Source organism: Homo sapiens, chromosome 8 (assembly GCF_000001405.40).
Source record: "Homo sapiens chromosome 8, GRCh38.p14 Primary Assembly".
In the NCBI taxonomy this organism is placed as follows: Eukaryota; Metazoa; Chordata; class Mammalia; order Primates; family Hominidae; genus Homo; species Homo sapiens.
Window position 1 is genome coordinate 133,344,339 of NC_000008.11, and position 22,274 is coordinate 133,366,612.

Genomic DNA, 22,274 nt, shown 5'->3' on the forward strand with positions numbered 1-22,274 from the left:
ATTGTTTGCTCTAGTGGATGCCAAGGTTCCTGCCTGGCCTTCCTCATCTGACCCAACTTCATGTGCCTTTCAAAGCCCAGCTTAGATAGCCCCTTTTCTTGGACCCTCCCTGCTGCCCAGCCATGCCCCCACTGCACACATGCAGCTAGGTGAGGTCAGTCACTGCCTCTTGAGCCCTCCTCAGCTCTGGGGAGACCCTCCTCCTCTCAGCACCTGCTCCCATGGCCTTCCCCCTTAGACTCTGAGGATCCTGTCCTGGAAGTGGGGGCCTTGTCTTCTCTGCTTTCATATCTTCCTTCCTAAAATGACTGCCACCAAAATGCTGAATCAATGGACAAATGGATGAATAAATGAGTGGATTCAGAAGATGCTAGTGAGGTGAACTGTCATGAACACACTATCTCTGAGACATTAAAAATGTTTCATTAAGTTATTTTTATAAAACACACATACCATACACCATGGAATACTATGCAGCCATAAAAAATGATGAGTTCATGTCCTTTGTAGGGACATGGATGAAGCTGGAAACCATCATTCTCAGCAAACTATCTCAAGGACAAAAAACCAAACACCGCATGTTCTCACTCATAGGTGGGAATTGAACAATGAGAACACATGGACACAGGAAGGGGAACATCACACACCGGGGCCTGTTGTGGGGTGGGGGGAGGGGGAGGGATAGCATTAGGAGATATACCTAATGTTAAATGATGAGTTAATGGGTGCAGCACACCAACATGGCACATGTATACATATGTAACTAACCAGCACGTTGTGTACATGTACCCTAAAACTTAAAGTATAATAAAACAAACAAAAAACAACAACAACAAAACACACATACCAAGCCCAAAATATCCTTACAGTGCCCAAGGTTGTAAAATGAAAAGTGAGTCTTCTTTCCAGCTCCCAGGATCACTCTGCAGAAGGTGCTGCCCACAGGCGTCTTCTTCTGTTTTGAGACATTTCCCTTTTACATTCTTTACACAACTGGAGGCATGCTGCACAAACTGTTCAAATAAAAGAAATAAAATAAAAAGAAATCTTTTCGTTTCTTTTAACAATATCATGGAGATCGTTCCACACCATTTTCTGTTCAGAGTTATGGAGTTCCTTTTTACGTATGTATAATAGTTTATTTGGCCAAGCTTCTATTGGAAGACAAGGATGACATGCCAATTAATATTCTCAACTCCAGGGCTTCTTAGCCTTCATCCTCCCTAGCATTAGGTACTCTTTTATTCATTTTGGACCTTGCTGGTGACTTCTGGATGAAAGAGATGGTGTTGTCAGTCAATGTGCATTCAACTGTTCTATTTGCTTTGTGTTTACTTAATAATTAATGTTTTTAAATACTTTTGCCAACCACGGTGAAAATACTTCAGAGACAGGGACAATATCATACACAATTACTGCTCTCACGTGGCACTAAATACATGTCTGAAATGAATGGGTAAATGAATATCTGGGTGCTCAAACCTGGATGATAAGAGTTGGGAAGGGTTGGCAAATATTTTCTGAAGCAAGGTCAGTGGCTTAAAAGCCCAATTGATTAAGATATTTCCTGCATTATATTCCACCAAATCAATGAAACAATTCATTTAATCCACTTTCTATTAATGGCTGGTTAACTTCCTTTCAATCCTTTACTATTATAAACAATGCTGTGTACTTTTCCGAGTATTTTCCTATGAAATAGCTCTAGAAAGTCCTAAATGACAAATTGCTGAATCAAAACATTCACTGTTTTTAGAAGTTTTTGATATATATATGATTGATTTTTTCCTCTAGAAGATTTGCAGATATTTTCACTCCAACAGGGACCTCTGAATCTTTGCCATACCTTGTTCCATCCTTGAGCAGGGAAAAATGTGAAATGTAGACATGTGTTTCCCCAATTATTAGTTCTGTCGAGCATACTTTTACATGCGTGTTGCCATTTGTATTTCTTATGTGAATTATTTGTTCATTTCCATGGCCCATTTTTCCACTGGGATTTTGCCTTAGTTCTTTCCTGGCAGAATGTCACTGTGGGGTTTCCAATGAACCACGTCCCCTGGTGTGTGTGCCCTTGTTCCATTCCCCCTTGAATCTGGCCAGGCTGCTTGGGTGACCCACTCTAACTGACAGAAAGTGGCAGATGTAACATTGGGACAGTTTCAGGGCTAAGCCTTCAGAAAGCCTGGTAGCATCTGCCTTTGCTCTGTTGGAAGCCAGCAGCCATATACCAAGCCCAGCTACCTTCACACCCCCAGACTGTGAGAAGTCCCAAGCAGCCACATGGAGAAACCACGAGGGAGAATGCTGACGTCCCAGTCAATAGCCTTGCCTGAACTCCCAGCCAGCCACGTGTGTGAGCCATCTCAGAGGAGGGTCCCCCAGCCTCCCTTAGCCACCTGAGGTGCCACTCCCTGTCCAAATTGTAGAATCAAGAGCAAATAAGTAAAACAACTGTCATTTCAAGCCACTAGTTCGGGGTAGTTTGTTACACACCAAACTACCATTAAAAAACCAAAACACTTACATTGTGTAAGAATTCTACAGATTAAGATTTGTGTTAACTGTCAGAAGTTAACTATCATGGTTAGATATCAAGGTGAGATCCAAGAAAGATTCATACAGTACATTCTGTGCGTGATGCACTGTAAGTCTCTTTTAACCTGGAGGCATGTCTCCAGCCTGCAGCTTGATTGTTTTGTATTTTTGTCCTGGTGGAGAGAAGCCAGAAGTCTTGAAGCATGTCTCCTCTAGAATCGTCTGCCGCCTCCTCAACCACTTGCAGTTGGTTTCCAGCTGGGCTCGGACATGGTCATTTTCAGAGCCAGCTCTGGCCTGTGGTATGTCTTTATCAGCAGCCCATCTGCAAGCCACGATGAGAGGCCTCAGAAGAAAGTCACCCTGCCAAAGCCTTCATTTCAAAGTCCAGCCCCCAGAATTGTGAGAAAATAAATAAATTTCTGTTGTTTAGTTCTGTGGTACTTTCTCACGGCAGCACAAGCAAACTAATATAGCTGATAATCCTTAATGTACACCCAGTATGTAGGAATCCTTATCATTAAATATTACAGGTGAAGGAGGTGAGGTTAGAACAGATTAAGTCACCTGTCCAAGGCCATCTGATATGGTTTGGCTGTGTCCTCACCCAAACCTCATCTTGAATTCCCATGTGTTGGGGCAGGGACCTGGTGGGAGGTAATTGAATCATGGAGGCGAGTTTTTCCTGCGCTGTTCTTGTGACAGTGAATAAATCTCATGAGATCTCATGGTTTTAAAAAGGGGAGTTTGCCTGCACAAGCTCTCTTTGCCTGTCACCATCCATGTAAAATGTGACTTGCTCCTCCTTGCCTTCCGCCATGATTGTGAGGCCTCCCCAGCCATGTGGAACTATAAGTCCATTAAACCTCTTTCTTTTGTAAATTGCCCAGTCTCAGGTATGTCTTTATCAGCAGCCCATCTGCAAGCCACGATGAGAGGCCTCAGAAGAAGGTCACCCTGCCAAAGCCTTCATTTTGGACTTCCAGCCTCCAGAATTGTGAGAAAATAAACAAATTTCTGTTGTTTAGGTCTGTGTTATGTCTTACGGCAGCACAAGCAAACTAATATAGCAGTTAATCTGTGACACATTCCCAGCGTTTAGGAATCCTTATCATTAAACATTACAGGTGAAGAAGGTGAGGTTAGAACAGATTAAGTCACCTGTCCAAGGTCATCCTATTAGAAAATGGCAGAGCAGACGCTCAGACCAAAAACTGTCTTATGTCAAACTCCCACACCAAACTGTCCTCCAAAAAATGTCAACAGAAACACCAACATACTCAGAATGTTGTATGGACTGGGAATGGTATAAGATTCCTGCCCTCTGCCCCACTTTCTTGTGAAATTTTCTCCAGACCTGAGAGGACCAATAAATGACCCCTCCCTCACTCAACACTTCTGTCCTCTCTGGGCCACATATATTGGGGTTAAGAACATGGAATTTGGAGTTAAACTGGCCAGGATCTGAGCTCCTGGTGACTTAGCCATGGGTTTGCTGTGTGAAGCTGGGTGTGTTATTTAACCTCTCTGAGCCTCATTTTCCTCATGGAGAAGATTCATTTGCTCTCAACCTTGTGAAGTAACTGTGGGAACTCAGGAGACAAAAGCTGTAGCTCATGGCCCAGAGCTTGGCCCCAAGGGGGACCCAGTAACTCAGAAGACTCAGGGCAGGAGCCCCAGGGCAGCTCTTCTCTCTGGGCTGGCCTCAGCAGCATCCCCCTCTCCCCTAAGAGGTATCTTGGCCACCAAGGGGCTGAGTCTCACTGGGCTGTGTATCTTCAGAGCACAGCTCAGTGCCTGGCTCCTAGTAGACCCTTGGGAAATATGGGTTGTACAAATTCAAGTGGAAAGAGTAAATAGAAAAACAAATCTGATTGGAAACTTCTGTGATGCTGTTTGTGCTTTTAGATATAATCTCCTGGAATCCTCTTATTATTTTAGTAATTTAGAATTTTATTAAGCTCCTTAAGAAGATGCCAGTCGACCTTGTGGTACTACAGGGTGCTGGCCCATTCCAGAGCTGAGCTTCAAAGTGGGTCGGTGGCCTAGGTATAGTATTCTCTCTCATGGGATCTGAACTCTAGGTCTTGTGATTCACACAAACATATGCGGGGTGGCCCTCAGATGTAATTTAAGGAACCTCTCCAAGGGACAGGGCCAACTCTGGCTGGAAGTGCCATAAGTCCACTAGTAGGGTGGGCAGAAAGAAAAGACATGTGGGTGTGAAAAGACATGTGTGTGTGATGTTCCTCTCCCACCACGGGAAGCATCCAGGGTGCCAAGGCTGGCCCACACCACCTCTGTGACCTCCCTTCCCTACCCTGCCAACATCCAGTCTACTCAACACTATATCGTGCATTTGAAGCCCGGCAATCGTTTTCTAGGGCACGACTTAGAAACTGGGACATAGATCACTATTGATTGGTGAAGACCAAGAGCATTTCCTCACAGGGCAGAAAAGGTCATTGGCAATTCATTTATTCATTCACCCATGCATTCACTCACTCAAGAAATGCTCTGATCAAGTGCTTGCTGACCTGGGGGTTGGAAAATAAGTGAGACCTGGTCTCTGCCCTCTAGACACTTCTGGCCAAACACAAACAAGCATGACGCTAAATGCCCACAGTGGTGTGTGCTTTGCAGAGCCAGGTATGGCACTGGGGGAATAAGGGGTCAGCATCTTAACCAACCTAGTGTGAGGGAAGGGAAGGAAGGGGGCAGGGGGACAGGATGGTCTAATTAATAGAAGTGCTGGTCTTTAGGTTCCTGCTCATGAAAATACAGCATATACACCATCATCTTTATTCTCCTAAGAACTCCAACAAGATTTAATTCTCAGCCCTCATTTTACAGACAGAGTATCAAGGTTGACAGAGGTGGGGTAATTTTTCCTAACAAGAAAATGATGCAGATGGGATCTGCACCCAGATGCCTGATGCTGAGTCCAGCCACTACCATCAGACAATCAGGAAGGGGCAGATGCAACTAAGACAGAAACTCAAAAGCTGAGAAGGGGAAGAGCAGCCCATCAGAGCTGCAGTTAGCATGGCAGAGCAGGGGAAAGGGTGAGATATGGTAGGGCAGAGGGGGAGGATTGAGACCTAAGGGCTCTCGCCTGGAGCCTCCATTAGCTCAGGGTGGGGCAATGCCCAGAGAAGTGAAGGGAATTGTCAAAGATGCATGAACCCAGGGGCAGAGCAAGAATTTTGACCCAGCATTCTCTGCATGAGAACCTGCTGTTCTTGGCTGGGTGTGCTGGCTCATGCCTGAAATCCCAGCACTTTGGGAGGCTGAGGCAGGTGGATAACTTAAGGCCAGGAGTCTGAGGCCAGCCTGACCAACATGGTGAAACCCTGTATCTACTAAAAATGCAAAAAATTAGTCGGGTGTGGTGTGGTGGCACACACCTGACACATGGAAGGCTGAGGCATGAGAATCATTTGAACCTGGGAGGCGGAGGTTGCAGTGAGCCAAGGTTGCGCCACTGCACCCCAGCCTGGGTTACAAAGCAAGACTCTGTCTCAAAAACAAAACAAACAAACAAGCAAAAAACTGCTGCTCTTTCCTCTGCAGGGGCTGCCTGGCCAGCCCTGGTCAACCTTGGGCCTGAGAGGAGCCAAGGTCAGCTGGGCAGTGAGGTGGGGGATATGGGAGGGAAAGAACCAGTATCTGCTTTTTTTCTCTTCTAGTTAAATAAAAGCTCAAATAACAAAGGTGCTACCTAAGCCCTAAGCCCTCGTGCGCACAAGGCCATATCCAGATGGATTCGCTAGGCTGGTTGGTCGAACTCCTCTGGAGACGGGGCCAAAGCTGGCAAATATTTAACCAGGGAGGGGACGGGTAGGTCCCATGCTTCCCCAGACCTGCACGACTCAGCCCTAGCGATGACCCCAGGTACTTGGAAAAAGTGCTGTGTGAGATTTCTGCCTGAATCTGCCTCCCTGTCCCCTACCACTGTGGTCTGGGGGTGTCTCCAAGCAGCTGCAAGCCTGAAAAGTGCAGGATCCATCTTTTGCTGGAAAGAAAACTTCTCCAGACCCTCAGCACTGAACAGCTGAGGTGAAGAAATCTTCTACAATCAGGGCATAAACGCTTAGAGGGAAGGTTTATTGTCTCTTCTTTACAGATGGGGAAACTGAGGCCCAGAGAAGGGAAACCCTTGCCTAGTGTCACCATAGCAGAATAGGGATGTAAACTCAGTCTCCTGACAGCCAGTTGTGGGCTTTATCCTCCCCAGCTTAGTCTGCCCGGGCTGCCATAAACAAATACCACAGACTGGGTGGCTTAAAGAACAGGCACTCATTTCTCACAAGTTTGGGGGCTGGGAAGTCCAAGATCAAGGCACTGGCAGATCTGGTGTCTGATGAGGGCTCGCGTCTCAGTTTGCATGTGGCCACTTTCTTGCTGTGTCCTCACATGAAGGAGACAGAGATTTTGTGTCTCTTCCTCTTCTTAAAAGGACAGTTACATCACAAGGGTCCCAGCCTCATGGCCTCCTCTAATCCTAATTGCCTCTCAAACGCCTCGCCTCCAAACACCGTCACATTGAGATTCAGGCTTTAACCTACAAATCTGGAGGAGGCACATTCAGTCCATTGCACTCCCCAAGACTGGGTTATACCTTGTGCGTCTTTGGTTCTTCACCCAACTGCAAAATCTCCATCCCACCCCTCCCACTCTATTGTCAATATCAGTCTGTCTCCTCCCTGGGTCCTGAGCACACTCCTCAGGGGCTCAGGAACCTCTTCATCTCTCTCTGCAACTCTGGAGCTGGTTCAGTGCCTGGCCTAAGGCGGGTGCTAAGGGAATATTTATTAAATCTATTTAACTTTCTCTCTTAATGCATTCCACATCCTGCTTCCAGAGTTATCTTTCTGTTTGTGTACAGGAGGGTAAGGTAGGTAGAGGGTTCAGCCCATGCAAAGGCCTCATGGCAGGAGTGTTCATAGTCAGTACTAGGAACTTGGAGGAGGCCAGTGTGTAGCTGGAGCAGAGACCAAAGGGAAAGTCTCAGGGCAGTGTGTTAGTCCACTCAGGTTGCTGTAACAAAGTACCACAGACTGGGGGCTTAAGCAACAGACACTTACTTTCTCACAGTCCTGGAGGCTGGAAGTCTGAGTCCAAGGTGTCAGCAGGACTGGTTTCTTCTGAGACCTGTCTCTTTGGCTTGCCATCTTCTCCCTGTGCCTTGATGGGGTCTTCCCTCTGTTTGTGTGTGTCCCAGTCTCTTCTTATAAGGACAACAGTCATATTGAATTAGGTCCCACACTAGCAGCCTTATTTTATCTTAATTACCTCTTTAAAGACTCTCTCTCTAAATGCAGTCACATTCTGAGGTCCTGGGGTTTAGGACTTCAACATAGGAGTTTCTGGGAGACACAGTTTATCCCATAACAGGCAGGGCCTTGGAAGGCTTTGCAGAGCCCCAGGGAGTTTGGACCTTATTCCAAGTTGCTGCGAGACCAGCAGAAGCCTTTCAGCCAAAAGATAAAGTACCAGATTTGCTTTTGAAAAAGATCCCCATGGCTGTTGTGTGGTGATTCAGCTTCCAGGGGGTTAAGGGTTGAAACAAAGAAGAGGCCCTTGGAGTGGCCCAGTGGACAGATGATGGTAGCCAGACCAGGGCAGGTTGGGGAAGGTGGGGAGAAGTGGCTGGAGCGGGGTAAGTTTAGAGATAGAAATGACAGTCCTGCTGACAAGTGGATGGATGGAGGATTTGAGAGACAGAAGACATAAAGGAAAACTGGATTCAAATCTTGCTCAGCCTCATGGTGGTGAGGTGACTTTGGGGAGGTGATTTCATGTCTCTGGGGTCCTGCTGAGATGTCTGTAAAATCTGAATCAGGAGGCACAGCTCACTGGCAGACGGGGAAGTAATGTGTGGAAGGTGTTCCGTGGAGGCGCATTCATGGGTAGTGATGCTGAGCATCTGATATATGCCCCCCAGGCCAGACACTGGGCCCGACATCCACGTTGGGGGTGATCCACTCCCTGTAGGGGTATCTCCCGTGCCTCCCAGGGAGTCCATTCCAACACCTTGATGCTCTGTTAGATTTTCAGCAATGTCCACCCTTATTTCTCAGTTTTATCTCTCTGAGTCACCAAAGCAAGTCCACATCACACCTGTCCCTTCGGGTATGGGAGCCCCCTGTTGTATTCCTGTCCTGTGGCAGGATACCATGGAGTCAGAGATTTGGAGATTTGTATTTGCTTTTTTTTTTTTTTTTTTTTTTGAGACAGGGTCTTGCTGTGTTGTCCAGGCTACAGCCTCAACCTCCGGAAGTCAAGCTATCCTCCCAACTCAGCCTCTCGAATAGCTGGGACTACAGGTGTGCACCACTGAACCCAGCTAATTTTTCTATTTTATGTAGAGTCGGGTTTTCTCCATGCTGCCAAGGCTGGTCTTGAGCCCCTGGGTTCAAGCAATCCTCCCACCTCAGCTTCCCAAAGTGCTGGGATTCTAGGCGTGAGCCACCATGCCTGGCCTGGAGGTTTGAATCCCAGCCCTGGCTCTTAGACACTGTGTGATCCTGGCTGGTCACATCACCTCTTGGGGTCCTGCTTTCCTCAGACATAAGGTAAGCATAATCATAATCGAATCACAGGCTGCCGTGAAGAATAAACAAGATGAGCTCATACAACGGTCAGGACCCAATAAAGGGCAACAATTTTAACATCAAAATCTATTTGTGAGAAAATAAAAGTTACTTAAACTTTGTGTGGGAGGCTTCTTGCAAGCTTTAGGATGGGGAAAAACAGATATGGTGGATCTCACAGTTTTATTTCCTGGACCATGCCTATGCCACCACTGAAGGCATTGGCTGGATCATTGGTTGTGGTTATTATCTTTGCTGGGGTCCTAGTCATCTCCTCCCTGAGCACACTCTTCATGTGACCAGCATCTCAGTGCTTCTGTCCCACTCTTGTTACCGTGAGTTATGGCTGTCATCGACACCACCCTACAGCCCTTCAGAACCACTTCCGCCTGACGCCCACTCACTTCCTGCCGCCCTCAGCCAAGCATCATGGCCGCCCAGAACAGACTGGATGGGGATCAGGCTCTGCTTGGCCCACGGGCTTCTGCTGAGAGGAAACTCTCTGCCAACTGGGACATACTAGGGAAGGGGCTGAACTCTAGGTGGTCCCTACCCCACCTTACCAACCACACACCCCTTATGTCTTCCATTCCACTCTGCCTTCCCTTCCCCCCACCCCATAAGAGGCCCTTCCAGACCCACTCACCTTTTACACAGGAAATGACCAACAAGACCACCAAGGCCTGCATATCCCAGAGAGGGGCCTTAGGAGGATGCAGTTGGGGTTCCCCAACATCATTTTTGAGGCACATGCATAAGGTGTTAAATAAAATCAAGCCACAGCAGACAAAATTTCATCCTAGTTCCTTGCATCCTTCTAGTTACATCGAGGAGCAGGCCTCAGTTTCGCACCAGGGCAGATGCTAACACCTCCTCTGCTCTCCTTTTAACCAGGAAAGAGCAGCCTCTGGGCTGGGCACCTCCCGCAGCAGCTAGACCTAGCTGGAAGTTAATATCTTGTTTGCTTTTGATTGTGTTTATTTTTACCCAGGCCTTTGATTTATGACCAGCCAAACTGCTTCTCCACTCAGAACAGCTATACACTGGTTATCCTTTAATTTTTATATTTCAATTTATACAAAGGGATCCATTAAATTTTCAAAAATATAGAGGAATGAGTTTTACAAAGTGCACTTGGATTATGTCAAAAATCATAATTGTGGTACACAAAAAACTACCATTTGGGAAACATTACTTGGACACAAACAGGAATCCAGGCAGGGAGAAAGTGAGGCCCTGGAAGGGGCTTCCTCTCAGCTAATACTCAGTGGAACTGGGCCGATGGAGGGAGTCACATTTGTTATGGGCTCCCTACGCACTAGCGTTGTACACAACCAGTTACTCTACACAAGCAGCCTGTGAGATGCTATTTTCCCTGCTATGGTTCTGCAAACTGGGTTTCAAAGAGGTTGGGTGACTTTTCCAAAGTCACACAGCTAATTGAGGTACAGGCAAGACCAGAGGCCTTGTTTCCTGGGCATATGTTCTTAGAAAGAACTGTAGCCTAAACCCCTCACCCCAAACCCCCCTCTCCTTCCCCTGCTCATCTGGGTAGCTGAGTATATAAGGCCTGAGCTGACCTTTGTCTTGACATGAAGGGTGGAACTTCTCCTTGTACTGACCCACAACCAAATGCTGACTCACCTCCTAAACCCACAGAACTCAATTTTCTCCTACAAAAGCCACGTGCCAAGGAGTACCTACTTGGAGCTAGGGCCTCATTTATATTAAGTTGACTTTGCATACAGCCTTGTGTGTTAGCCCATTTTAGACCTCAGTATACTGAGGCCCAGACTGGTTCTATAACTTGTCAAAACTCACCCAGCTGAGAAGAAAAAGAACTGAAATTCCCACTCGCATTGGTCTGGCTCCGATGCTGACATCAGCATCAGTATCCCTGCCCTTGACCTACAATTTCAGAGAAGCCCCAGTCTTCCCTGACCCCACTATCTCTGCAGTAACCTGAGTTTCTCACCCCTAATCTCCCTCCTGGGGCTGGAAGCACTGTATTTAGCAGCATCTGTTAAAAAGGCCATGTGGACTCCCATGATGACAGTGGGCTCCTGGGAAGAGGTGGGATTGGGGATCTGAAGGAGGCAGGTAGGCCGGGCTCCTCCCATGAGAGATCCTGCCTCTGGGATGTTCATACCCTTGGCCTCAAGGGGCCAGAGCAGAGGGAAGGGTCTGGACTGGGAAATCAGAAATCTCTCTGCTGGACACTTACTCACTCCCAATGACCTTGGGCAAACTGTAGCCCCTCGGTTTACTCATCTGTAAAATGGAAAAGAGCTTCAGGAATTTTGAACTCGCAGGCATCATATGGCCCACAAGCTTGTCCTGGTGTTTTTTACAAAAGAGGAATAATTCTCATTATTTAATCTCTCTAAAGTAATGTCAGGGGGAGTCAGATAGAGGGTCTGTCTACAAAAGGTACATGTCCCTCCCTCCCTCCCTCCATTCCTTCCTTCCTTCCTTCCTTGATCCCTCTCTCCCTCCCTTGTTCTTTCCTTCTCCTTTCTTTTTTTCTCTCTCTTTATTCCTTTCTCTTCCTTTCTCTCCCTCCATTCCTCCCTCCCTCTAATGTCCCACCCTCTGTCCCTCCTCTTTTCTTTCTTTTATCTTTGCTTGTTTGTTTGTTTGTTTGTTTGTTTTGGGGGAGGGCACACTGATGCATGTATGGAAAGGAAAACTCTTCCTGTTAATATACAAAGTGAATCTGTGGCCACGGCTGCACTCCTCATTTTCATGGTCTGCTGCCTGTCCCGGGAGGCTGTGGCTCTGGACTGGAAGGGCTGGAGGTCCCCTCCCTGAGGACAGCCTCTGCAGCTGCTGGCCAAAGGCATGGCAGCCCCAAGAGTCAGCCGCCCGAGGCTGAGTCTGGAATGTCTTGTTTTGTTGTGTCATTAACACAGTGTTCATTTTTAGGGCCTGACTTGGGAACGGGTGCCAAGAGCATTCCTGAGGAGTCAGAAGGGAGGGTGTTTATTGTCAGGCTACACAAGTAACTTCCTTCAGTAATCCCTCAAGTACTCAGCAAACCTTCATTAGGCACCTACTACTGTATACCAATCACTGCACCAGGCCCAAGAGATGCAGAGAGGATCAATTAGCTATAATCCCTGTCCTTGGACAGCTCCCAGGACTGTGGGAGAGGCTGACCTATCAAGGGACAGCCCCCAGGGGTAAGAACAGTGACAGCGGAAAGCCCAGCGCACTGTAGGGTAGAGATGGTGACGCAGAGGGGTGGCCTCCGGGCTGCTTGAGTGCACTGGCCCTTTATTCTAGGGAATGTGCTAGAAGGACATAGTTACCTCTCCAAGAGGGCCTTTTGCAAAGGTATTCTTTTGTAATTCGTGATTATTTTTCCTAATTGCAAGACTCACTTATTCCTACTTTCAGAAATCTTAAATGCTATGAAATGTGTGAGTCCAACAGTAAACATTCCTCAGAGATAACCAATGTTGGCTGTGTGCATTTCTTCAGCATTTTCTTGCAGGCTTCAGCATAACTAACACTCCTGGGGGCTTACCGTGCCCCAGACCTCCTAAGAAGGCAGCATGCAACTGCTCACTAAGGTAAGTACCATCTGCGTGTCCAGCTTACACGCAGAGAAATTGAGACACACTCAGAATGAGTCACTTGGTCCAGATCACGTAGGAAGGAAATAGCAAACCAAGACTCAAACCCGGGATATCAGGCTCCCTCCAAGCCCTTAATCCTGAGAGGGAAGAAGTCAAACATGGCTGGGCATGGTGGCTCAGGCTTGTAATCCCAGCATTTTGGGAGGCTGAGGCGGAAGGATTACTTGAGACCAAGAGTTCAAGACCAGCCTGGGTAACATAGTGAGAGACACCATCTCTACAGAAAAAAATAAAAATTAGCCAGGTATGGTGGTGCATGACTGTAGTCCCAGCTGCTCAGGAGGCTAAAGTGGGAGGATTGCTTGACCCCAGCAGTTTGAGGCTGTTGTGAGCCGTGATTGTGCCACTTCACTCCAGCCTGGACAACAGAGCAAGACCCTGTCTCAAAAAAAAAAAAAAATTAGTCCAGTCACTCCCCCATCCTCACCTGGCTAGTGTAGGAGCCAAGGTATGCACCCAAGCAGTCTTATTCCATAACACTTGGACTTAACCACACTCTTTGCTGCCTTCAACCTAATGATTAAATATATATACTTACATGAAAACATTATTTACCAGCGTCTCATGGTGAATGGGACATTCTGCACTTCAAATAGAAGATCTTGTATCGCTTTCATTGTTATTACAAGCAAATCTGCCTCCTTCACTTCAAGGTCAATTTGGCAATCCAAATCTCAGCATACCATTGTTGATTTGCCCAATGTCTTCTTTATGATTTTTTGGGTGGTTTCTGATTATCTGCTCTTGCAAACAATGCTTCAACAGAGATCTCAGTAGAGGTTGCTGAGAGTTGCATGAAGACTGATTCCTAGAAAAGGGATGGCTGGGTCAGTGGTGTGCACCTGCATGCCCTGGCATACCTGCCCAGCGCCCCATGCAAAGACTTCCAGGGCTCATTTTCATCACCTAAAGAAAGAATGTCAGAGCCGGGTGGTGTTTAAAGGCTCCTCCCCACCATGGCTGGTGGCGGGATCCCATTTCACAGTTTTCATGCACTGTGCATTTTTATCTGTACTCTTAGATGGCTTTGGGAAGGTCATGATCTAAAAAGGAAAAAAAAAATCAATCATGCTATCAGCAAAAGCCACGGTGCAGTCAGCAGCTGGCATTTCCAGGAGGCTAGTCGTGGCTTGGCAGTTCTTGTGTGTAAGTTACACAGTGGTGCCTCTTCCTCCAAGCAGCCCCAGGGAGCAGAATCCCAGCTGGATTTCAGCTTCTCTGTGCCCCCATGGCCAGGTGCCCTTGTGCAGTGCACAGCCTGACCAACCTCGCACATTATTCTAGTTAGAGCTGTAAGCTGGATCCCAGCTGCCTGGACTCAAATCCAATCTTTAAAGCCTATTAACCATATGCCCTTAGACAAGCTACTTAAACTGTGTGTGTCAATTTCCTAGTGTGAAATAGAAGCTGATTATAATAATAGTGCCTCCCTTATAGGGCACAGCAGCAGCAGTGAGGAATTAAGTTAAAATATCAAAAGCCCTTAGAAGAGTACCTGGCATATAATAAACACTCCATAGATGTTTGCTACTAAGCAATTAATAATCCTACTGTGCCATTATTTAAGGAGGCCCTACTATTCCGCCCCAAGGCTTTATTTTTCTCCAAATACAAAGACTTCCTTGGGCTTTCAAGGTAGCACATTTTAATGGAAAGATGCTGGGTTTGGGAACCAGAGATAATGGAGCTGGAATCCCGGCTTCTTTCCCTTCCATCCTTGTGACTTCAAGCAACTCCCTTTGCCGATCTGATCTTTACTGTGCAGAGGTTTGTTTCTATGTTGGAGACCTAGCAGTGTCCCTGGCAAGGAACTGCACAGTGGATACTGGTTTCTCTCCCAACTCAGGGCACTAGGACTCAGCACAGGATGGAAGGTGAGGGTTTGGGTCACTCCCCAGGAGGGAGGTGGGAGGTGGAAGAATCCAGAGAGAAGCACACATTTTGTTCCCAGTGCAGCCTTGCCAAACTCTCCAAGGCCTGCCCCAGGGCCGTCCCAATGCCCAGCCCCTGGCAGGCTCCCACATGCCAGGCCAGCATTCCTGCACTTCCAACCTTGCTCATTCAAGAGCCAACACTTGCACCACCTCCTCCTGGAAGCTTAGAACCTTTCTCCAAACTAGGATTATTCCCTCCTAAGACCTCTCACATCTTTTAGCTTGTGCCTTTTTTGCAGGTGCTTTGATTCCACTTGTACTTCAACCATCTGTGAGCTACTTCTATTCTCTTTAGGAGACTGGCAACTCCCTAAAGGCAGAGGTTGGTGTAATGGGGGTGGGAGCATTGGCAGATGGTGAGATTGGGGACATTGGAGTTGAGGCTTTATCATGGACCAGTTCCAGGGTTTAGTTCTAGTCCCACCTCTCACTAAGCCAATATCCTTGGGTAAGGCACTTAACATCTCTGCTTTTCTTTTCCCTCCCTAGCATGAATTGGGGGATAATTGGCCACCATTACTGAGTGTCTACTTTGCCTTGCTCTGCACCTGTGGATCCTCCGAACAAGGAAGCTTAGTTCTTCTTCTGCCCATTTTGTAGGGGAGGAAACAGTGGAAACTCAGAGGTGCAGACATTTGCCTAAGGATATACAGAAGATAAGGAGCAGAGCTGACATCAGAACTCAAGCTTGCAAATGTGTATGCGGGCCACCATGCCACATCTGCCACCTCTCTCACAGCACTGCTGGGGGAACAGGAGAAGCATTGGAGGTGGCAGGCTTTGCCTTACTACACATGGCATATGCATTTTAAATAAGGACTTTGATCTGGAAGCAGGAGAGCATATTTATTGCCTCAACTCAGCTTGATTTGGGCTCTTCTGTCCCACAAATGACACCAACCCTCACTGGCCTGAAGACCTTGCCTGAAAGAGAAAGAGCAGTGGCATGAAGTCAGAAGAGGTGCGTTTACCTGCCAGCTTTGCCTCTGTCTGTGTTCTCTCCCTGAGCCTCAGGAATCGCACTTCAGTAATGGTTTTGCTATGAGAATTTGGAAGCAGCACGTGTAAAAACCCTAGCTCAGATTGGGTACTAGATAGACATCAGCAGTGAAGATTCACTGAGTTTGCCCCAGGGCAGGCAGTGGAACGGGTACATTAATGCATATCCCAAATCCTCACAGCCACCCAGAGGTAGATCCTGTTACTGTCATCACAGCTACCTGATCAGAAAACTGAAGTTCCAAACACAAGAACTGCATTGCGAGTGGATTTTCAACCCAGGTGAGTCGGCAGACATGTGTAAATGCTAGATTTGACCATTTAGTTCATGACACAGCACAGCCCATGAACTTGGAGTGTTTACATAAGAATTCAGAAATGCAGACTCAGGGCAGGCATTGCCTGGGTCCATGTCCTTTCCCCCTGGGCTGTCTGCCCCTGGACTGTTTATAATGTTGCTAGAGTTTACTTAATGCCAAATGAGTAACAGACTGTTCACCAGCACTTGTTTTGTGACTCTCACTTTTAAACCGAGTTGGAGTCTAACCCGATGAGGCCCGACCCAGTAAACAGCCTATGGAATGACAAACATTTCTGTTAGCCAGCAATGGCTGCATATGATGCCTCCCATTGGCTGAAACTGCCCCTTTGTAAAAGAGATGGTAGTTTGGGGATGACATAAACAAGGGTAGAAAAAGTCAATTCCTGCAAAGCTTTTTTTTTTTTTTTTCCTGAGATGTAGTCTTGCTATCTCCCAGGCTGGAGTGCAGTGGCGCGATCTTGGCTCACTGCAAGCTCCGCCTCCTGGGTTCACGCCATTCTCTTGCCTCAGCCTCCCGAGTAGCTGGGAATACAGGTGCCCGCCACCATGCCTGGCTAATTTTTTGTATTTTTAATAGAGACAGGGTTTCACCGTGTTTGCCAGGATGGTCTCGATCTCCTGACCTCGTGATCCACCCGCCTCAGCCTCCCAAAAGCTCTTTTTTTCCTCATCTTACTGTATCCATCCCTTTTATGTGGACTGGCATGTTGGAAGAACATTGCAGTGACAGGTGCCTGGGTTTGGGCTGTGTGACATCAGGCAAGTCACTTATCATCACTCAGTATTACTGTCTTCAAGAGGAATAATTACACATATCCACCTGAGTGGTGAGGAATAATAAGATAGAAAAAAGCAAAGACAGTGCTGACAGATGGGCAATGCTTGATTTATGTTAATCTTTTTCCTTTCCTCACTGTTAGGAGCAATTTTATCTGTTTCTTTTTCAGAAATGCACTTTGAAGAGACATGCGTTCGTAAGAGGTCGCTCCTGAGAATGTGACAGAAATCACTGTGCCACCTGGCTTTCTTCTTTGTGAGTCTATATCTAGGAGTGGACTAGACTGATGCTCTGTGGTATTATTCTAACCAACAGCAGGCCAGGCATGTTGGCTCATGCCTGTAATCCCAGCACTTTGGGAGGCTGAGGCGGGTGGATCACGAGGTCAGGAGATCGAGACCATCCTGGCTAACACAGTGAAATCCTGTCTCTACTAAAAATACAAAAAATTAGCTGGGTGGTGGCAGGTGCCTGTGGTCCCAGCTACTCGGGAGGCTGAGGCAGGAGAATGGCATGAACACGGGAGGCAGAGCTTGCAGTGAGCGGAGATTGCACCACTGCACTCCAGGCTGGGCAACAGAGCGAGACTCCGTCTCAAAAAAAAAAAAAAAAAAACAAAAAAACCAAACCAACAGCATTTATTGAATACCAATGTAAGTTTGGCTCGATGGAGCCAGGGGCTGGGGAGTTGAAGAAAACCTGGTACTGCAGAAAGGAGCTCACATCCCAGTTGGGGAGGCAGGAAGCTCTGGCCTGAATAAACCAGGGATTGAAGAGACAAGCACAGCCTGTGAGTATCCCCAGGGAGTTATTCCTCCAGACTGTGGGGATCTGGGGATACTTTCTGGAGGAGGTGGCGTGTTCAGAGTCCCCCAAACATGAGTGAGTCTGCTACTGACAGAGATAGGGAGAAAGGCATCCCAGGTAGAGGGAACAACAAAGGAATGGCTGTGCTATGCAATTTGTGAAACACTCATGGCGAGCAGCGGCTCTCAAACTCGAGTCAGCATTGGAATCGCCTGGTGGGTGCATTAAAACACAGACTACTGCACCCCGCGCCAGCACCAGAGTTCCCAACTTGGGCAGTCTGGAGAGCAGCCTATGAGTTTGCATTCTAACAAGTCCCCAGGTGCTGTTGCTGCTGTTGGTCCACATGGGAAGAAGACATTGTAGAGGAAGCAGATAGGTTGGATGGAGCCAAAGCATGGAGGAATGTGAGCACCCATCTGGTGCATCACTCACTGGCTATAGCCATCAATGTGTTCATTCAGTCCTTTACTGAGCAAGCAGCACCTCTGAGCCCTACTGTGTGCTAGTACAGTGATGGACTCTAGGTATACAGCGATGAATACAACAGTCTGGGTTTTGCCATATCTTTACCCTGCTGAGGCTCTCAGAGGAGGATGGATGACATTCCACGTGATGACACAGGCTGATGACCCTCTGGGCATCCAGGCACAGAAGGCAGGGGCTCTGGAGGTGAAAGTTGCCTTCACTCTCATGGCCCTTTAACGAAAGACCTTGTCTTATCCATGTTAAATTCAGTTTGGTTTAAATGTTTCTTCATACATAGTGAACTATCACCTAACTGGATGTGTAAACAGGCTATAACCAACTCTAGTACCAATCTCTGGGTTTCAGCCAATCACAGACAGCCAACTCTTCAAACCATGTTCAAAGAAGGCAAACGCCAAGCTAGAACCCATCCAGCTGTTTCTGTTCCTTACTTCTGTTTTCCATATGTCACTCTCTTTTTTCTGCCCATAAATCATCCTCGACCACGCGGTAGCCTGGAAGCATCTCTGAACCTATTCTGTTTTGGGGATTGCCCAATTCAAGAACCATTTTTCACTCAATTAAATTCTGTTACATTTAGTTTTTCTAAGGTTTTTCCTTTAACGCCCAAAACACCCTGTGGTGTTTAAGGGAAGAATTGCTGCAGAGCTGACTTTCCTAATAATGAGGGTGATTGAGTCTGTTTGTTGCAATATAGGGTCTGCTGCTCCAACTGAGACCAAAAACAATGTGATGGAAACAAAAGAGTATTTTATTTCTCTTTTCATGCAATGGTCTGGGCTTGGGAAATTCCTGGAAGAAATGTTTGTTTCATGGGGGCCCTGGCTCCTTCCCCTGTACTTCTCCACCCTCCCTGGGGTGTTGCTTCATCCATAGGGTTGGTGATGATTTATGGCCAGGTGCTGCAATGCATAACTCGTGGGCATGTTGCATAGAACACAAAGAGAGTGGTGTTCTCTGGAGCCATGCAACACAGTGCTGCCTCTGTGAGGAGAGAAACAGGAAAGGAGTGTGAAGAGGACATCCCTTCCCTTTTAGGGCTCACCCTGGAAGCTGTGCACCTCACTTCTGCTCACAAACCACAGACTAAAACCATCCTGTGGCCTCAGCTGGCTGCAATAGAGGTTGGGATGTGTCATCTTTATTCTTGGCAGTCTTGTATTCAGCTGAACCCCAGCCACTTAATGAATGCAATCTATCCTCTTTTACTTCATTCTTTTAGAGTAAGTTTTGTGTAGCCATTCTCTCTAAGATGTCCTACTCCATCGCCTTGCCTCCCTCCTTTTTTTATTGAAGAGATACAGATATTTCCTTGTGGACAATTATTTTACCCCATCAAAATTCTCTGCAAACCTTCTAGAATTATATCCATTATTCTCAATTCTAACTTTTCAGCAGAATCACTGGAGGGGTGAGGATGAAGATAGGGGAGGCTCTTAATACTGATGTTCCAGGCTTTTTGCCGGAAAAACCAATTTAATTTGTTTGTGGTAGGGTTGAAGCATCAGGAATTTTGTAAAGCCCCCACTCATTGCCCAGGTTTAGTTCTTTTCCCTTAAAGTATTAGGTTTCGGCTATTGGCCAGTGAGCTGAAAGTTGAGCCATAGTGAACAGGAGGTGTGCAAAGGTATGCATTGAAATGTTGAGTATTGGGTGCACAAAAACTGGGCCTGACATAAACACTCAGCATCCACAAGTGCTTGCCACACTGCCTCCGAAATGGAGCCTCCGTCCTACTGGCCCTCAGGTGTCAACTCTTTGATAATTGATCACCAAGTGTACTGTGAAGATGCAATCCACAGCAAGTTTCTCTGTAGTGGGAGGGGAAGGAAGATAGGTTTAAACAGCAATGTCAAAAAGAAGGGGGGAAACAAAAGATATTCTTTGGTGGTTATCTGGAGCTGTAATTTAACTTCCCTCTACAAAGGCTGTATGCCCTTAATTATAGTGGGTTTTCTGTATTTATTTATGTATGTATATGCATCCATTTAATAGTCTGTGTTTATAGGTTAATACCCCAAATGACCCTTTATTGGGATAAGACAGAATCATTCTTTGATTCCCTGCATCCCTGTTCACATACCCATTCCTCCAGATGCTGACTTGCTTGTCCCCTCTTCCTTGAAACATTCCCCTCAGGCTCCACATGCACAGTGAAGAAGCAGGCAACATGGCGTCAGCCAGGTAGAGAACCCAACTGCATAATAAAAGATTAGGGTGAGGCAGCCAGCTTCCTCGCAAGCTATGCAAACGGCACACCTAGTCCAAACCAGTTCTTCCCTCACTATGCAAATGGCATACCTGCTCCAACCAATCCTTTGTATCCTATGTAAATCAGACACCATCTCCTCAAGCTCATCTGTAAAACCTCTTGCACTTTGCCACAGACTGGAAGACCCACTCAGGAGCCCCTCTCTCTCTGCAGGAGAGAGAACTTTTCTCTTTCTTTCACTTATTAAACCTCTGCTCTTAACCTCACTCCTTGTGTGTCCACATCCTTGATTTCCTTGGCACGAGGGAACGAACCTTGGGTATTACCCCAGATGACGACGATTCTTCACCCCCACTGGTTGTGAAAGATGAAGAATGCAGCCCAGATTGCAGCTGGCAGCCACTTTGTGATCAGAGGGGAATGAGCCTGTGGATGAAGCCAACACAGTGGAGGGAAGGATGGAGACATGGAAGAAACTGGGCCTTGTTGATAGCCATGGAGATGCTGAATCAAGCCTTTCCTGAAGCCCTTTCTAACTGCCAAGATTTTCAGATCTTACACGAACAAATTCCCTTCATCATTTAGTCTGGTTGTTGTATGTATATGCTGTTTCTTATAGCTAAAACCATTGTAGCTTTTGTGAGATATTATAGTAGGTTCTGGAACATAGAAGATACATGCTCAAGTTAGCTACCATATGCCCTAGAGACTGCCAGGGTCAGAAAACCATGCATGCCACCAACACATCTGTCCCTCAGCATTTTTATATAGACAAAATCAAGTTAAAATGAATACCATGGATGGTCTTAAGTGGGCACAGAAATCCTTAGCCTTCTTCAGTATTATGGAGGGGGCTATCTAACCTTTTTTTACTTTCTTGAAGGTAGAGCTGATTGGGGTGGGCAGTCAGTGGTGCTAGTATATAAGCTTTCTGCTTTTTTTCTTTCTCTTTTTATTTTTATTACTATTATTATTATTTTTTTGGCTGCTTCTCTGAGTCACTGCCAAAGATTGTAGGACATCTTATTATTAAGATGGGGTGATTACTGAAATTAGCTCTAACTTCACATGGCTCTGCAAGAATTGGGTGAAGCGTGAACCCTGGAGATAGTCATCTCTTTCTCAAGAGTCAGCTACATGCACACTGGTCTGAATGTGATCCTTCACTTTGTCCAAGGGTAGGAAGCATTAGTCCCTTTGTAATGATGATTATTTTTGTTTGAGGGTGGGTGGGTAATTACTTTTGGTGTTCATATTCTTTTATTGAAAATGAAAATATATTTTATTTTCTGATAATGCCTTAACTTTATCAGCCTTTATTGTGAATTATTCCATTGCTATACACAGCTTGCATAATCTTTGAAATCTTGCACAAAAATACCTTGGGGTTATAAATTCAGTCACATTTGAATTGATTGTGGTGTAGATGAAGGTGAATTCAAACTGGGTCTCTGAATAGCTGTGTGGCCTTGGGAAAGTCACTTAGCTTCTCTGAGCCATTGTTCTTCCTGAGGAATGGGGAAAAGGGTTGTGTTAGGCCAAGTAATGGCCCGCAAGATCATCTGGGTCTTAAGCCCTTAAACATGTGAATGATACTTTATATGGCAAAAGGGATTTTGCAGATGTGGCCAAGCTAAGAATTTTGTGATGGAGAGATCATTCTGGATTATTCAAGTGAGCCCTAATTGTCATCATAAGTGTCCTTATAATGCAAAGGGGATTTGGCAGAGAAGAAAAGGCAATGTGACCACAGATATGGGGATCAGAGTGATGCGGCCACATGCCATAAAGTGCCAGCAGCCACAAGAAGCTGCAAGAGGCCAGGAACAGATTCTGCCCTAGACCCTCTGCAGGGAGCACAGCCCTGAAGCCATCTTGATTTTGGCACAGTGAAATTGATTTCTAAACTTCTAGCCTCCAGAACTGTGAGAGAATACATTTCTGCAGTTTTAAGCCAC

The 22,274-nt window shown here is 46.5% G+C and overlaps 2 long non-coding RNA genes across 5 annotated transcripts in view; one reads left to right on the forward strand and one right to left on the reverse strand.

The window, feature by feature from the left end:
- Nucleotides 1-416: 416 nt before the first annotated feature.
- LOC105375771 (uncharacterized) overlaps nt 417-22,274 on the reverse strand; it is a 32,914-nt gene continuing 11,056 nt past the window's right edge. Inside the window, exons 2-3 of one of the 2 annotated variants that reach the window (XR_001746096.2) lie at nt 13,314-13,583; nt 417-1,013 (exon numbers count right to left, since the gene is read on the reverse strand). This is a non-coding gene — a long non-coding RNA (uncharacterized LOC105375771). Of the gene's footprint in view, nt 1,014-13,313; nt 13,584-18,834; nt 19,089-20,187; nt 20,302-22,274 lie in introns of those variants that run through there. The other variant, XR_007061117.1, reaches the window with a different exon arrangement.
- LOC105375772 (uncharacterized) lies at nt 14,819-21,620 on the forward strand. Of its 3 annotated transcripts, XR_928672.4 has the most exons (4): nt 14,819-15,031; nt 15,199-15,670; nt 15,891-15,990; nt 16,978-21,620. It is a non-coding gene; the product is annotated as an uncharacterized LOC105375772 (long non-coding RNA). The 3 variants fall into 3 exon arrangements; XR_928671.3 differs by having other exon boundaries at nt 15,199-15,990; XR_928673.3 differs by having other exon boundaries at nt 14,834-15,031; nt 15,310-15,990; nt 16,978-17,186.